The sequence below is a fragment of the Homo sapiens genome, chromosome 15 (assembly GCF_000001405.40).
Source record: "Homo sapiens chromosome 15, GRCh38.p14 Primary Assembly".
NCBI classification, from domain to species: Eukaryota; Metazoa; Chordata; class Mammalia; order Primates; family Hominidae; genus Homo; species Homo sapiens.
This window is the reverse complement of record NC_000015.10, coordinates 71,115,726-71,131,778: the sequence shown is the minus strand read 5'-3', so window position 1 is coordinate 71,131,778 and position 16,053 is coordinate 71,115,726. Positions and strand designations below refer to the sequence as shown.

Sequence of the window (16,053 nt, the reverse complement as noted above, 5' to 3'; positions counted from 1 at the left end):
ACTCATATTCCATTACCCAGCTTAGTCATATGGCAGTATACCTGTCTGCAAAGGAGTGTGGGAAACACAGTCTATCTCTGTTCCCAGGAGGAAATCTTCTGGTGAAAAACTAGCCAGTGTTTGTCACAATAGGGAAAAAAAATGGTAAAAGTCATTTTAACATGTACTCCTGTGATTATTGGTAAAGTTGGAATCGATTTTCATTTTTATTAGTCATGTATACTGTCTCTTCTGTGAATTTTTTACAACCTTATTTGCCCATTTTTCTATAGGGCTCATAATGTTTTGAAATGATTTTTTTTTTTTTTTCAGATGGAGTCTCGCTCTGTGAGACTCGCTCCGCGAGCCACCCGTGCCCGGCCATGTTTTGAAATGATTTTTAAGAGCTCTTTCTTCATTAACATTGTTAGCCCTTATTTTGTCAAGTTAGGACCTTGTTTTCGTTTGCTTTTCATCTTCTAATTTTATTTATAATTATTAAATAAATACATTTTTATTTAGTGTCTTTAAATCAATTATTTCCATTGTGATTTTCTGCTGGACATCTCATCCCAAAGCAAACCTACACACACAAAAACTGGGCAATTCTAATCTAACTCCCCAATGTCATTATTTTGTCATCATGATTCAAAGATGAATAAACTAATAGGTAAAGAAACCACGTGACTGGTACAAGGTATCACAGCTACTTAGAGGCAAAGCTAGGACTAAAGATTTTAAAAGTTAACATTTATTGGCCGGGCACAGTGGCTCACACCTGTAATCCCAGCACTTTGGGAGGCCAAGGCAGGCGGATCACGAGGTCAGGAGATTGAGACCATCCTGGCTAACACGGTGAAACCCCGTCTCTACTAAAAATACAAAAAAATAGACGGGCGTGGTAGCGGGCGCCTGTAGTCCCAGCTACTCGGGAGACTGAGGCAGGAGAATGGCGTGAACCCGGGAGGCGGAGCTTGCAGCGAGCTGAGATTGCACCACTGCACTCCAGCCTGGGCAACACAGCAAGACTCCGTCTCAAAAAAATTAAATAAATAACATTTATTAGGTGTATAATATGTGACAGGTTGTGCTGAATGCTTTTTAAACATTAACTAATTCTAAAGACAACCCTATGAAGCAGGTGCTATTCCTATCCCCATTTTACATAGAAGGAAACTGAGGCTGTAAGAATTAAAACAGTATGCCTACTCAGAGTCACACAAGTAGTAAGTGGCAGCAGCACGATTTGAATGCAAGCTCACCTAATTGTTGGAGTCATGGCTTGTCTTAGCACTAAATTAAACTGCCTCTCAGGGCCGGGCGCAGTGGCTCATGCCTGTAATCCCAGCACTTCGGGAGGCCAAGGTTGAGAATTACTTGAGCTCAGGAGTTCGAGAGCAGCCTGGACAACATGGCGAAACTCCATCTCTACAAAAAATACAAAAAAATAGCTGGGTGTGGTGGCACATGCCTGTAGTCTTAGCTACTCAGGAGGCTGAGGTGGGAGGATCGATTGAGCCGGAGAGCTCAAGGCTGCAATGAACCGAGACTATGCCACTGCACTCGAGCCTGGTCAACAGAGAAAGACTCTGTCTCAAAAAAATAAAAATAAACTGTCTCTTGAGTCTCCTGACACACTGCATCAAATGTACCTTTTCAGGAGAGTTGCCTGTGTTCACATTTACCTGGTACACAGCATGCAGGCTGCAGCCTGGGCCCCTGCCAGGCAAGATGTAGGGTGTGAGGTTGTGCTCTGCCCCATTCACTCTGGAACAGCTCCGCCCTTGAGTCCAGGATATTTTCTCAGTGCCTCCACGCATTTGACCATCCAGAAAACATCCCAACTCAGTGTGCCTCGGCCACCATAAATCAGCCAACCACACATGCTGCCCTCAATGCTTCTGAATATCAAGGGAAAGGATCTGCCTCATCCTGCCCTGCTCCTGAGGCTTGCGCATTGACGTTTGAGTTATGTCATTATTTTTTTAAGTGATAGAAATCTAGTCAATGATTTGTAGCAATCACCACTGTGCAACGTATGCCAAAAAACTCTGTCTATCCTTACAGAAGGAGGGAGAAACCTAGCAAATTAGTCTGACTTCCTTGACACAATTCTGTGATGGGCCAGTATTAGGTAAGGCTAAAATCAGGTGCTGTGATTAAAAGATTATGACAATGTGAAAAAGTCAGTCATCACATAAATTAGAAAATGTTTTCAAGGAAACCAAGAGAGGCACATCCTTGGAGGTCAAGGGTCCCCCAGAGGTCAAGAAGGACAATAAAGGGCATTTAGGTTTAGAAAGAATAGGCTGTCACTATCCCCCTTTTTCTTGAACTTTGTCATCAATGGCTACGATGCCCTACAAACCTGCTCTCTTCCTGTCTCTTCTGTCTTCCTTGTTGGCTCTCCCTATGACTCAAACCAGAACTAGAAAAATGTCAACAATAAGCAACCCTCACTATCAAACTGTGTACTCTGGAGAAATACTCTTACACTCCAACCTCTTTATTATTTCATGCTAAGGTCTCAAAAACTCAACACCTCAAGACCTGCACGCTCATTCAGGCAGCTTCCCTGTACTTCGAGTTTCCTCCTGCTGCTGATGGCCCAAGGTGAATAAAAGGAGCCGTCACCAGCTCATGCTAAGCCCTCCTTCTTCAGCGGTGGCATAACCGTCCTTCCAGGAAATGACTCTCAAAGCTTGCCTGGGCCTCTGGGATACCCTCTCCTGTATGCCTTGGGCCCAGTCTCTTGCCAACTCTCAATTCTTCCTTTGTACTATCTCTCATGTACTTTCTTCTCCATCCTCCACCAGCCTCCTCCACCAGCCTCATCTAAACCATCATCCAGATAATTGCAATTAATGTTCTCTGATTTCCCTATGCACCTTTGTCAAAAATCAGATGGGTGTACTTCCAGGTTGTCTATAGTATTCCACTAATCTATGTGCCTTTCCCTCACCAATACAACACTCTCTTCATTGTTATAGCTATGTACATGTTAAAACCAGAAACACTCATTCCCCCTCCTTTATTCTTCTTTTTCAAATTTGTTTTCAAAAGTTTGACTATGATATGTCTTGGTATAACTTTCTTTCTATTTAGGGTTTGCTCAGCTTCTTGAATCTCTAAGTTTGAGTCTTATGCTCAATTTGGGAAGTTTTCAACCAGTATTTCACTGAGTAGTTTTTCATCCCACTCTCTTTTTCCTCCTCCTTTGTCTTCAAAGACAAAAATGTTAGATCTTTTGTTATAGCCTTTTTTTTTTTTTTTGAGGCAGAGTCTCACTGTGTCACCCAGGCTGGAGTGCAGTGGCGTGATCTTGGCTCATGGCAACCTCTGCCTCCCGAGTTCAAGTGATTCTCCTGCCTTAGCCGTCCAAGTAGCTGGGATTACAGACATGTGCCACTATGCCCAGCTGATTTTTCTATTTTTAGTAGAGATTGGATTTCACCGTGTTGGCCAGGCTGGTCTCAAACTCCTGACCTCAGGTGATCTACCCACCTCGGCCTCCCAAAGTGCTGGGATTACATGTTATAGTCTTACAGGTCCCTGAGACTCTATTCTTTTTTTTTTTCTTCTTTCCCAGTCTATTTTTATATCTGTTGCTCAGGTTGGGTAATTTCTATCGTTACATCTTCCAATCCACTGATTCTTTCCTGTCATCTCCATTCTGCTGTTTAACCCATCAGTGAAGTTTTATTTTTGTTATTATATTTTTCCATTCTAAAATTTCCATTTGGGATTAAAGACTTAAATGTAATGCTAGAAACTGTAAAATTACTAGAAGAAAACATAGGAGAAATACTACAAGACGCTGGCCTGGAATAATTTTTTGTATTTAACCCCAGAAGTGCAGGCAAAAATAGACAAATAGGATTACATGAAACTAAAAAGCTTCTGCACAGCAAAGGAAACAATAGTGTAAAGAGACAACCCACAGAATGGGAGAAAATATCTGAAAGCCAAACATCCAATAAGGGGTTAATATCCAAAATATATAAGGAACTCAAACAACTCAACAGTAAGAAAATAAAAAACCCAATTAAAGAATGGGCAGAGGACCTGAATAGACATTTCTCAAACAAAGATACACAAACAGCCCACAGGTATATAAAAAGATCCTCAACATTGCTAACCTTTAGGGAAATGCAAATTAAAACCACAGTGAGATATCATCTCACACCTGTCAGAATGGCTATTATCAAAAAGATAAAATAAATCAAGTGTTGGTGAGTATGTGGAGAAAAAGAAAATCTTGCATACTATTGGTGGGAATGTAAATTAGTACAGCCATTATGGAAAATTGTATAGAGCTTCCTCAAAGAACTAAAAATAGAATTACCATATGATCTAGGAATCCCACTTCTGGGTATTTACCCAAAAGATTTGAAATCAGTTTGTCAAGAGAGATCTGCACTCCCATGTTCAATGCAGCACTATTCACAATAGCCAAGTCATGGAATCAATCTATGTGTCCATCAACAGATGAACATGGTATACCTATGCATATGATGGGACATTATTCAACCTTAAAAAGGAAGAAAATCCTACATGCTACAACATGGATGAACCTGCAGGACATTAAGCTAAATGAAATAAGCCAGGCACAGAAAGACAAATACCACATGTTTTTACTTATATGTGGAATCTAAAACATCAAACTCACAGAAGCAAAGAGTAGAATGGTAGCTACAGAGGCTGGAGGGTGGGGGCAATGGTGAGGTTATGGTTAAAGGGTAGAGAGACTCAGACAGGAGGAATAAGCCTTTTTTGAGATCTATTGCATAGTGCAGTGAAAATAGTTAATAGCAGTATTTTGTACATTTCAAACTTCCTAAGAGTAAATTTCAGATATTCTCACTACAAAAAATGATAAGTATTTGAGGTGAGGAATATGTTAGGTTGATTTCATTATTCCACATTGTATTCATAAATCATAGCATCACTTTGTGCCCCATAATATAATGCAGTTATAAATTGTCAATCTACAATAAAATGTTTTACAATTTTTTGAAAATAAAATTTCCATTTGATTCTTCTATTTCTTTGCTGAGACTTCTCATTTATATTTTCTTTATTTGCCTCAGGCATGGTCATAATTGCTCCTTGAGGCATTTTTATGATGGCCGCTTCAAAGTCTTTGTGAGATATTCCCACATCTCTGTCAACTCAGTGCTGGCATCAACTGATTGTCTTTTTCATTCAGTGTGAGATCTTCCTGGTTCTCAGTGTGATGAGTGATTTTCCATTGAAACCTGGACATTTTAGGTATTATGGTATGAGGTGCTAGATCTTATTTAAACTTTCCCTATTCCCTGGCTTCTTCTGACACTGCTCCAGCAAGGAAGGGGGCCCCCAACATGATGGCCACGTGGGAACAGAAGGCCAGGTTCCCCACTTGGCCTCTAGTAACACCCGAGGGGGAAAGGGGAGTCGTCATTGCTTCTGGGTAGAGGTGGGAGTTCCAGCTCCCCACCAGGTCCCCAATGACATGTCCCTGGCTTGGAGGGGCAGGAGAGCCTCCTGTGGCCTGTGCTGGTACCACAGCAGGGAGGCTCAGAGGGATGCATGGCTTCGTTACTGCTGGGTGGTGGTAAGAGCCCTGACTGTCCACTAGGCCTCCTCTGACCACGCCAGTAGGAATGAAGAATTAGTGTCCCGGAGATGGAAATGGATTGCTGGACGTCAAACAAGTTAGTGACAAAGCTGGGGCTCAACGCCCATGCCCTTGGCTGCAAGACCACTCGCTTCTAAACCAAACACACAGGAAGAATGCCAGCCCCCTGCCCAACAGAATAATGAAAGATCTCACCAGCCAAAGGACAGCGAGCGGCTGCCTCCCTTCACATCCTGCCAGACCCCAGGCCAGAAAGCACATGTGGCTGTGCGCCACCACCCCCTAAACAACACAAACACACGTCTACTTAAGACGGGTCTCCCATCCAACATACACAGCAAAAACATGTTCCCGAGCCAAGAACCACAGCACCACAGTCACCTTCGGGGCTGGTGGTCTTCCATCTGGAGAGGTTCTGGCTTTCCTACTGTTGGAATCTCTGAAACCAAGATACACCCAGGAGCAGCCAGCAGGCCTGGCGCCCCCCTCCTGACTGGAGAGCTGGGTCTGCACCCAGCTGGAGGCGCCTTCTTCGGACCTGGGGCCTCCCTCTGGCCCTGGCTGGCCAGCCGCGGTCTCAGCACAGCCCTGCTTATTCTCCAGTAAGGGAAAGCTGGTGACCCGGGAGGGGAAACTCTGCTTTCTAACAGTCTTTGTTTTTGTTTCCATTTAAAAAGGTTAGTGACTTTATTGCATGTGGAAAGAACCAAAGTAACAATTTCAAAGAGGCTCAGCATGTTTTGGATCTGACCAAATATACAGAACTTTTGAGTGAGGAGGAAAGAAAAGGGAAAAGAGGGAGCAAAAGTTTATTCCACATTCACTGTGTGCCAGACACAAGCCTTGGTGCTCCGTCTATGCTCTCGCCTGCCTTTTACAATAAAAAAATTCCAGCTAGAATCAAGTTCCAAACTCCAGCCAGCAGGCTGTTGGGAGTCAGGCAGAGCTGCTGGACTCCAGGAGAGTACACAATAATAAACCAGTGTAGGGTATAAAATTTTTTCTTTTCTTCTCTTTTCTCTTTTCTTTTCCTTTCCCTTTCCTTGCCTTCCTTTCTCCTTCCCTTTCCCCTTCCTCTTCACCTTCTCTCCTCTTCTCTTCTCTTTCTGGCTGGGTCTCACTCTGTCACCCAGGTTGGATTGCAGTTGCATGAACATGGCTCACTGCAGCCTCAAAACTCCTGGGCTCAAGCAATTCTCCTACTTTAGCCTCCCATATATGTAGCTGGGACCACAGGTGCACACCACCAGCTGGGACCACAGGTGCACACCACCATGCCTGGCTAATAGTTTGATGTTTTGTAGAGATGGAGTCTCACTTTGTTGCCCAGGCTGGTCTCGAACTCCTGGGCTCAAGCGATCTTCTCATCCCGGCCTCCCAAAGTGCCGGGATTACAGGCATGAGCCACCGTGCCTAGCCAGGGTACACAATTTAAGTCACGAAATAGAATGACAATAACAATATTAATAAGGTTATTGGGTACCAAAATTTTGAAATAATATGATTTAAAATTTTTAATTCACTAGAATAACTACCTAAATAATTTAAAATTGTATTAAAGGAACCGCCTATGTTGGTACCATTCAAGCTGATAAATACCCCAATCTTTTGACAGAACTTGTGAATTAAGCATTTTTCTTATGAGCACTGGAATGTCCGTGAATGATTTTGTTGACTATCAGGATATTTTAACATTCACTCTTCCTACAATTTAAAACAATTTTCAAATATTGTAAGCGTCTAGACCAGGGGTCCACAAACTCTGGCCCACAGGTTAAACCTGACCCTCTGCCTGTTTTTGCCACATTTTCAAATGATTGAATAAAAATCAAGAAAAGAACATTTTATGGCATATAAAAATTATATGAAATTAAAATTGCAGTGCCCATAAGTCAGTTTCACTGGAACACAGTCCTGCCTGTTCATTTATCTATTGTCTATGGCTTCTTTTGCACTCAAAAGGCAAAGCTGATTAGTTGCAACAAAGACCACATAGCCTGCAAAGTCAAAATATTAATGTTTGGCCCTTTCCAAGAAAATATGCGGACCCCCAATCTTGACAGTCTGTCAAATGGTGGTGCTGGTGTCAGACTGAAAACACACAGAGATGATGATGATGGTGATGATAACAGCAACAACCACGACCACCAGCTTGGCAACTGAGAAAGCCAAAAAAGCATCACGAGATACCAAGTGGGTAATTTATGAGTGAGCCCACTGTGCAATGTGAGAGAGAGTGCGACCATATGAGAAGCAACAGCAAAGCAAAGCTATGTGTTTTGAGACCATATCAAGTAAATGCACGCTCCACATTTATTCTGTAGGGGGAAAAGTCTGAATTATGAGAGATCTGAATACCGCGAGGTCTTCAAGAATGTAGCCCTCCCATAAAACACAACAGGCTTCTACTTCCTTTCTCCCTCTTCCCTCTCCCCCAACCTTGTTTCCTCCTGTTGGGAGGCAGATCCCACCCCAGGTCTTTCTGAATTCCCACCAATCTGAATCTGATGCCTGTCTGGGTCCCCCAGCCTCTCTACGGCATGTTTATCACAGTGATTTTCCTCTCACCTGCCCGCTGCTAAGGCTGTAAGTATACTATTACTCCCCGCCTCTCACACTCCCAGGCAAGAATACACCTTCTTCATCTGTAAGAAGAAAGAAGTTCTAGTGTTCACCTGCACAACAGTTGGCCCTTCATGCATTGTAGGCTTGAGCAGACACCTTACCTATGCTCTCTCCTCTAATTCCTACGGCATGTACAGAGATTGTTAGCCCATTTCATACATGAGGAAACTGAAGCTTAAAGAGATTAATCTACCCAAAGCCACACATGCAGAGTCAGGTCTGGAATTCACACACTTTACAGTGCATGGCACTGCCACCTGATGCACAGTAGGGGCTCAGAAAGCACTGGATGCCTGAGTGAATGACTGCATAGCAATGCCCACACAGGACCACTAACGCACAGCAGCGCAATCTCAGAAGCAGCCAAGACCTTCCACTCCAAGAGACCTCTGTGGACACTGAAATAACTTCCCTCTCTGGAACTCAGAAAGTCACCACTCGAACAGTACCTCTCACACCCCTTGCTAAGAGTGAGGTATCAAGTTCCTCCAATCTGAGCCTCAGGAAAGAACAGTAACTAGTGAGGAAAGGAAGGGTAGGCAGAAAACAAGCACCTGTTCTGTTTCTGGGTCCCCCTTGTCTGGGCCTCCCAAGTGCAATTTCTCTGAAGACCCCATGAGCAGCACGGACCACTCTTATTACAGCTCTTGCTTTTGACCTGGTAATCACATGGCTGGGAAGTGTATTTCCAAAGCAGAACATGAGATCAGAAATAAATAAACATCAGCAAATTGAACATTCACGTTGGTAGTGCCAATTTTTAGAGTGGGAGAAACTAGAAACAACCTAGATCCCTGATAGAGGGTGGGGAATGGCTAAGGAAACCGTGATGGAGCAAAATGATGAAAAGCATCATTGTGCTTTAAAAAATGGGAACCCTGCTTAGGTGGCAAGTGGGAAATGTTGACACAAAATCCTGTTAGTTGAAAAGACAAATCTGCATGTGCTAAATTAAAACATAAGCCGATATCAAGGAGAAAACAGAGCAATATTAGCAGTGGCATTATGCGTATATGCGCTCATGTGAAAGAGGCCAAGAAGACAGAGCATCCTGTAAGAGGCTGAGAGCAGGGAGAGACCTTTCCTCACTGAGATACTCACTAACTGGCCTGAGAGTTCCTCCCTCCGGCCCCACCGCCAGTATTTGTTTTGGAGTCAGATGACTTGAAATTGAAACATCATTCTGATGTCTACTTGCTGTGTGAGCCTGTGAACATTCCTTAGCCTCTCTGAGCCTCAGTTTTCTAGCTGTAGAGTAGAAATAATAGTGTCTAGTTCACACAGGTTGTTGAGAGGATTAAATAAAAGAACGCAGGTAAATCCCAGTACCTGACACGGAGCTCTGTAATGGCAGCTCCTCCCCGCTTAGCTGACCAGAAGATCCTCTGAACTTCAAGCAGAATGAAATCCTGGGCCTCAACTAAAATATCGCTAAAGTCAAGCAGGTCCTGGGTACTTGTCTGCTCTGGAAAAGAAACTAAATGGAACTAAAGGCTATACTGTCACTACACGCCCTGTAATGAGACTTCAAAACTTGAAGACACAGCTCTACCCTCAGGGCTCACCTTACAACCAGCAATAAACTCCCCTACATGATTCCCAAGCGGCCTCATGTGCACGGTTGGATTTGATCCTCCTGTCAATCATTAGGTAAGTATAACTATTATTATCCCCCACCAAGAACAAGGCAATGAGAGGGCAGAGAAACCAGAAAACAGGGCAGAGTGGGGATTTGCATCCAGGCCAGACGGCCTCCACGGCTCCTGATTTTCCTCTCAAGACAGCTGCATTCTCTACCCTCAGCCACTTGGCTTGGGACTATCAGGTCACAACAAAGCTAGCAAGGAGCAGAGCCAGTGCAGAATTGGCCAGTACCACTGGAGGACCCAACAGATGTCACAGCCCAGCCCACAAGTAGTCTGACAACCTAGCATGAGGGCAGGAGACGAGGGGCAGGGTAATGTCATCAAAGGGGCAGCTGGAAACCATGGAGCTGGAGCAAAGGGAGGAGCAAGCCAGACAGAATCCAAGGCATGTGAGGGTCAGGGGTCAAACAAGGGAGATCAATCAAAGAGTCAGTTGTCAATTTACCCAAAGCAAGCCTTGGCGCCCTGGAAGAGAAGTTGCTTCTGTGCTTCCCAAAGGAGATGCAGGCTCAGGACTCAGCCAAAGTGGGGAAAAAAAAAAAAAAGTGATAGCTAACATTCAAGTGGCACTTTTCTACACGCCTGAGATAGTTTTGAGCATTTTCCAGGTGGAAAAACTACAGCCCAAGAGGCCAAGGAACCTGTTCAAGGCCCAAAACTTGGTAGAGCCAAGGCTCAAACTCAGGACCTGGCTCCAGAGTGCTCTCCTCCTCAGCACCACCACGCTGCTGCCTGGCCGGGGAAAGGAGGTGGGCTCCCTCTTCCTTCACATCACAAGTGATCAGAGACGCGACATTTCAGGGGGAAAAGTATGTCTGGCAACTACAAATTTGTAGCTTGCTGATATGGTCGGAGGGTTTCCAAGAAGGAAGCAGGTAGGGCAGCCTCCCAGCAGTCCATTTATCCTTTTTCATGGGAAATTAATCTTCTTCTCTCTCCTGACTGTGCCTCCAAGAAAAATGGTTAAGTCAAAGCTCGTCATCCTCCCACCCCTGTAGTCACATGGCTGCATCCCCACCATAAATCAAAGCTGATGCCCCCTTTCATCAGATGCCTGCAGATAATTCCCCTGTGATTTCCCTACTGGGGCTCAGAGGGCCAAGGCCTAAAGGGTTAACATCTCATTTCCTCTTGTCTTTCAAGCCTTAATCCCCATCCTGAGCTGGGTGCATTCCAAGCCCACCTGGAGCAGGTCATGACGAGCTCCCAGCCCATGGCTGGCCCTTCATTTCCCCTGGCAGGAGATTAGATGGGGTGCCCATTAATCACTCCGTGCTTTTGTCCTCACTGCTGGCCAGGCCTTAGGCAGCTGGCCAAGGGCCAGGAGGGTGGAGCAGGCCACATGCTGCCCACCCGGTTGTGGGGTGCCCAGTGCCACCCTCCTGGGACAAGACACAGCGGCACTGTGAACCTGGCTCACTGCCCTCGGACCACGCCCTAGAGAAGCAGGGCTAATGGGCGCCAATGCCTGGGATGACACCTCAGTGATCAGCTTCGGAAAGGCTGGTAGGAGAAGACAACATAGGCAGTACACTCAGCTGGGTGACGGGGTAGACAGGAAAAGAGGTCAACAGAAAGAGACCACTTTCCCAAGACAACGCATCAATACACAAAACTGCTGCCTCTTGTTCCATGGGTTCTTCTTTGGGCAATCTAAAGGGAAGCTGGGGAAGGGGAGTGGGGCGAGCAGGGATGTTGGATGGGTAATTCATTATTACTATCACCGCGCAGCTGGGAGTGTTCATTTGCTGGGTTTGAATACACAGTTGTAACATTCAGCCCTGTGCCCTTCAGACACAAAACCCTGGATTTGAGGGGGCCTGAGATTACATATACATTTTTGTTACAGCAATACATTGAGCTCCAATTGTCTCAAGCACTGATCAGGCACAGAGTAAAGAAATGGGGCGAGAACTAACACTGAGCGCCTGCTATGTGCCTTAGGGCTTTGCCTTAAGCTCTGCATACCCATGCACTGGTCCCCCACCAGCCCTCCAGACTTTGGCCATCCTCTTGTTACACATGGGGAAACTGAGGCTGGGTGGGTAGGAAGTGGAGCAAGGCCAGTTGAATGAAAGAGATCTGTCAACGGCCAGATCCCATTCTGGGAAAGGAGGTTCAACTCACCGTGCCTGCAGGGAGGAAGGGGCTGGCTTTGCCTGTCCAGCCCTATTCGGGGGGTCCCAAACCAAGCAACTTGGGGCTCTTGAACAAACCCACCCTGGTCTTTCTCCCTGAGCACTCGCTCAGGTCCCAAAAGAAATTCACAGTGAGTCTGGTGGCAGGTGGGTTTACATGCCTTCGAGTAAGCTGAGGGGGCTGGGCCTTCAGGACTGAACTAAAGACCCCTCGGGCCAAAAGAGAGGACCCTCTTCCTGGCCTTGGCCACAACTCTCCATTGCTCACTCCTTAGAGTCAAAGTCAGGGCCTCTGTCAAAAAGGAACATGCTGCCTGGGATAAAGTGGCGTATTAACCCACCACCTGTCGCTAGAACCACATTGTAAAGGAAGCCCAGGGCAGTGGTCCCCAAACCTGGGTGTGCGGAAGAATCGCCTGAGGTAATCTTAAAAACGCCAGTTCTCGAGCCCTGCTTCCACCCTGGAGCCTGTGTTTTCTTTCACCAGATCTGAATTTTGATTCAGATGTTCCTAAGACAACTGTTTCAGGAAATAATGATATAGTGGAAAGAACACCAGATTTAGAGAGCTGGGTTTAAGATTTCAGCTCCAAACCTGAGCTGCTGACCTCAGGCAAGTAAGCCTCAACTTTCTTCCTGTACAAGGCAGATGCTGATGTCTCCCTTCTAGGTGGCTGGGAGGATTAAAAGAGAAACCACTGAAAGCCCCAAGCATTGCACACACCAGTGCTCACTAAGCATGGCCCCAGTGAGGCTAACAAGCCAGCGAGGCTGTGGGCACAGAAGTAAGTTTTGACAGGAGGAGGAAAAGAGAGCAAAACAGGCCTAGATGATGAAGGGGTGTCCCAGCCTCAGCACAGCGGTCCTGCGGAGGAGGAGTAAAATTGGGGGATCCCAAGAGGGGGCCAGAGGCAGCAAAGCAGCCTAAAGCCAGAGCTTCCCCTGAATCTTCTCCTCACCTGCGTCAGCCTGCATCATGTGTTGGCTTCCAGCATAACATTTTTAATCCATTTTCACAGCGAGGATATTCAACAAATACACATGAAACCTTTATATCTGCGCATAAGTAAACATCACGATTCTGCATACACACGCAAAGAAAAAGATGGGAAAACCAGAAAGAAGAGGAGAGAGAAGAGAAAAGTGAGATGAGGGGTCAAACCCAGGCAAATAGTCATGTGCTTTCAAGTGTGCTGGGGCCACTAACATGAGGACAGTGTGTTCCATGACCTGGAGAGGCCCAAGGAGGCTGCTCGGGGGAAACCTCAGAGTGGCTGGGGAGGCGAGGCTCATCCAGGCTGAACATAGAGCAGGCACAAAGAATGCAGGGAAGAGACACAGGAGTGTGTGCAAGAAAGGCTGGGTGGGATACACTGCCTGGCAAAATTTAGATCAGAAGAGGGGAAATCTGAATTTCTGAGCTGGGGATGGGAGGTGTGGGGAGGGCAGATAAGACCATGATAGAGACTGGGTGAGTGGAGGGATGGCCTTCAAGCAGGAAGGCGTTGGGATGGCTCTTGGATCAATAAAGTAGACTGGGATTAGGAAACATTTTAAATGCCCTGATGAAAAGTAACCTGGATTCAACCGTGTCCATACAGTACTTTCCTATCTTTCAGTCTTTCCTCGAGCTCTTTCCTCTGCTTGGCCTGTCCTCCCTCCCCACCAGCCTTTCCCATCTCCTTGAACTCCTCCTTAGGCTTCAAAGCCCAGTGGTAACTGCCCTAGCTCCTCCCATGCAGAATCAATTTCTCCCTCATTCGCATCTCCTTGATGTTTTGCACATCCCCCTTGTATTGCGGTTATTTCTTTACTTCCCTTTCTCCCCTGGGTGGTTATTTATCATCTGCTAGCCTGTGGACTCCCTGAAGGCAATGATATTGTCTTGTTCATAGCGTAAGCTCCAGCACATAGTAACAGTCCCTGGCACATAGTAACAGTCCCTGGCACATAGCAGACGCTCAGAAATATCTGTTGGAGATAAATTAAATAGAAGTGAATACTGGGGAGCCATTGTGATTTCTTGAGAGAAATGATGTGGTGAAATCAGAATTTCAGAAATATTAATCTATCAGCATGAAAGAAGATGGATTAAAATGAAGAAAGCAACTCGTGGCTGGGAGTCAAGAGGGGAGATTATTACTGTAATTTGGACATGGTTGAAGGTGGGGGCAGTGGGAATGGAGACAGGTAAATAATTCCTCAGATATCACAAAAGAATGTGGAAGAGATTTTGCGATGAATGAGCTATAAATGTGGGGGACAGAATGGGAGTGTTGGGAACATTTAAACATTGAGACTCCCAGCAATTAGGATAAAAGTGGTACCATGGAGAGAAATGTGGGGGATGGAGAAGACGGCAATACACAGCCTCTGTGTAGGATAACTGATTGCAATCTCCACAAGTTTTTCGAGGCAAAAACAAAAACAAACTCCAAGTCAAAAATCTCCCCACCCCTGATCTTCCTCCCAAACTCTGGGCTGTATTTTTCTTTCGCTAACAGCCAGTAAGAAATATTTCTTTATGGCATAGGAGACTAAAAAGAAGGTAATGCCAAGCTGGTGCCCCGCCCAGTGCTGGGCACAGAGGAGATCACATGAGTTCCACTGGCCAGCCTCCCCACAAGAAACCAACCCAGTTGCTTATTCAGAAGGGGCTCCAGTATCCTGATCACCCAAACTCATTTCCCAGGCCCAGACCTCTGGGAAATCCCTGCTCCAGCCCTGCAGAGATTTATAGGAAAGTCCCAGGACGCCCATCTGCTTGCTTCCTCACATTAATTTCAGGGCTAGGATTTTGTTTTCTAAAGGAATTCAACTATGATGCCAACAAAAATCTATAGGAATTGAAGAGTTCCGTATTTTAAGTCACATTTTTAAAATGTTTGCTTCTTTGTATATTGAGACCCAGTAAGACCCTAGTAAGCCCAGTTACTCCATCACCTCCAACAATATTAATCAAGTAGAAGACACGCGGATTTTAAAAGCTGTGTGATCCTTGAAAAATCTTCAGACTGTCAGGGGTCCTGGGTGCCTCCAACTGTGAAAGGAGGGTTGGACAAGGCGATTCCTTAGATCTCTCTCGGGTATCTATTTCTCTAATTCCAAATTCCAACAGGCATCCAATGATTGCTACCCACGTCCAAGCTTTAGACTCATAGCCCGAAAAGGGCGAAGCGCAGCGTGGTAGAGATCGCAAAGGAGACAGGAAGAGAAGCAAGCATGCACTTTTAGTAAGACGGCAAAGGAGGCTGGGAGGTACGGTGCTGGGTGCGGACTGCTTAAAAAACTTACTAGACCACAAATTCCAGATACTTAGGTGGGCCCGAGAACGCCCTAAAATCCCCTTCCCAAGTGAGGGCTGATGTTATTTCAAATAAAAAGAAAACTTAACTTCCAGATCTGTAGAGCTCCAAGGTGAGCTCGCTGTGCAAAAGCTACTTCTGTAAGTGCGCCAAGGGGCCGCAGGTACTTAGGCTGCACTTGAGGAAGTGTCCAGAGTTGGCGGAAACAACCCATCCACTCGGGCTCCAGGCGCTCGCTGGGTTGCAGCAACTAAACTGAGACAGACAGACACACAGATCCGAGGCCCCAGGCCAGGACTCAAGGAGCGCTGACCGAGACTTGCCCGGCTCTCGGGCCCCAGGCGGGAGGGAGGCGAGGCTGAGGTGGGGGGCGCACGGGCTGGGTGTGCACTCGCCGGTCCCCTCCGACCCGACCCGGGGAGCACGGGGCCCCGACCCGGGGACGACTGAGGTGGATTGTCCCTAGAGTTTAAGACTGTCCCTAGAGTCGAGGGTGGAGGGATGAGCGCCGGCGCCAGCACAGAGCAAGACTCCCAGCAAGGAAGAGAACCAGAGAAGGAGGCGCAGCCGTCCGCACGGACCAGGCGCGCGCTGGCTCCCCGAGCCCGGAGCGGCGCAGCCCGCGGCGCCCCGGACACACCCACTGGGTAGCCCGCGCCAGCCCGCCCCGCCGGCCAGAGAGCGGGAGCCGGAGCCTGGGCAGCGGAAGCCGGGTCGGGGCCGCGCGGGCGGCGCGCAGG

The 16,053-nt window shown here is 46.5% G+C and overlaps 1 protein-coding gene across 3 annotated transcripts in view, besides 2 other annotated features; it reads right to left on the bottom strand.

Annotated features, from left to right (window-relative positions):
- The window catches only part of THSD4 (thrombospondin type 1 domain containing 4), a 686,490-nt gene that overhangs the window by 651,605 nt on the left and 18,832 nt on the right, over window positions 1-16,053 (bottom strand). Inside the window, exon 1 of one of the 3 annotated variants that reach the window (XM_047433080.1) lies at window positions 1,242-1,260. The exons of the other annotated variants lie outside the window; for them this stretch is intronic. The gene's annotated coding sequence lies outside the window, so the exon portion shown is untranslated. Of the gene's footprint in view, window positions 1-1,241; window positions 1,261-16,053 lie in introns of those variants that run through there. 3 annotated transcript variants of the gene reach the window in all.
- Window positions 11,182-11,698: an enhancer, noted in NCBI's record as "H3K4me1 hESC enhancer chr15:71412420-71412936 (GRCh37/hg19 assembly coordinates)". NCBI's record gives its function as "activates a minimal SCP1, AML or CMV promoter by ChIP-STARR-seq in primed H9 embryonic stem cells {active_cell/tissue: H9 hESC(primed)}" and the evidence as "EXISTENCE:reporter gene assay evidence [ECO:0000049][PMID:30033119]".
- Window positions 15,915-16,004: a silencer, noted in NCBI's record as "silent region_6613". NCBI's record gives its function as "represses an Ori minimal core promoter by ATAC-STARR-seq in GM12878 lymphoblastoid cells {active_cell/tissue: GM12878}" and the evidence as "EXISTENCE:reporter gene assay evidence [ECO:0000049][PMID:35858748]".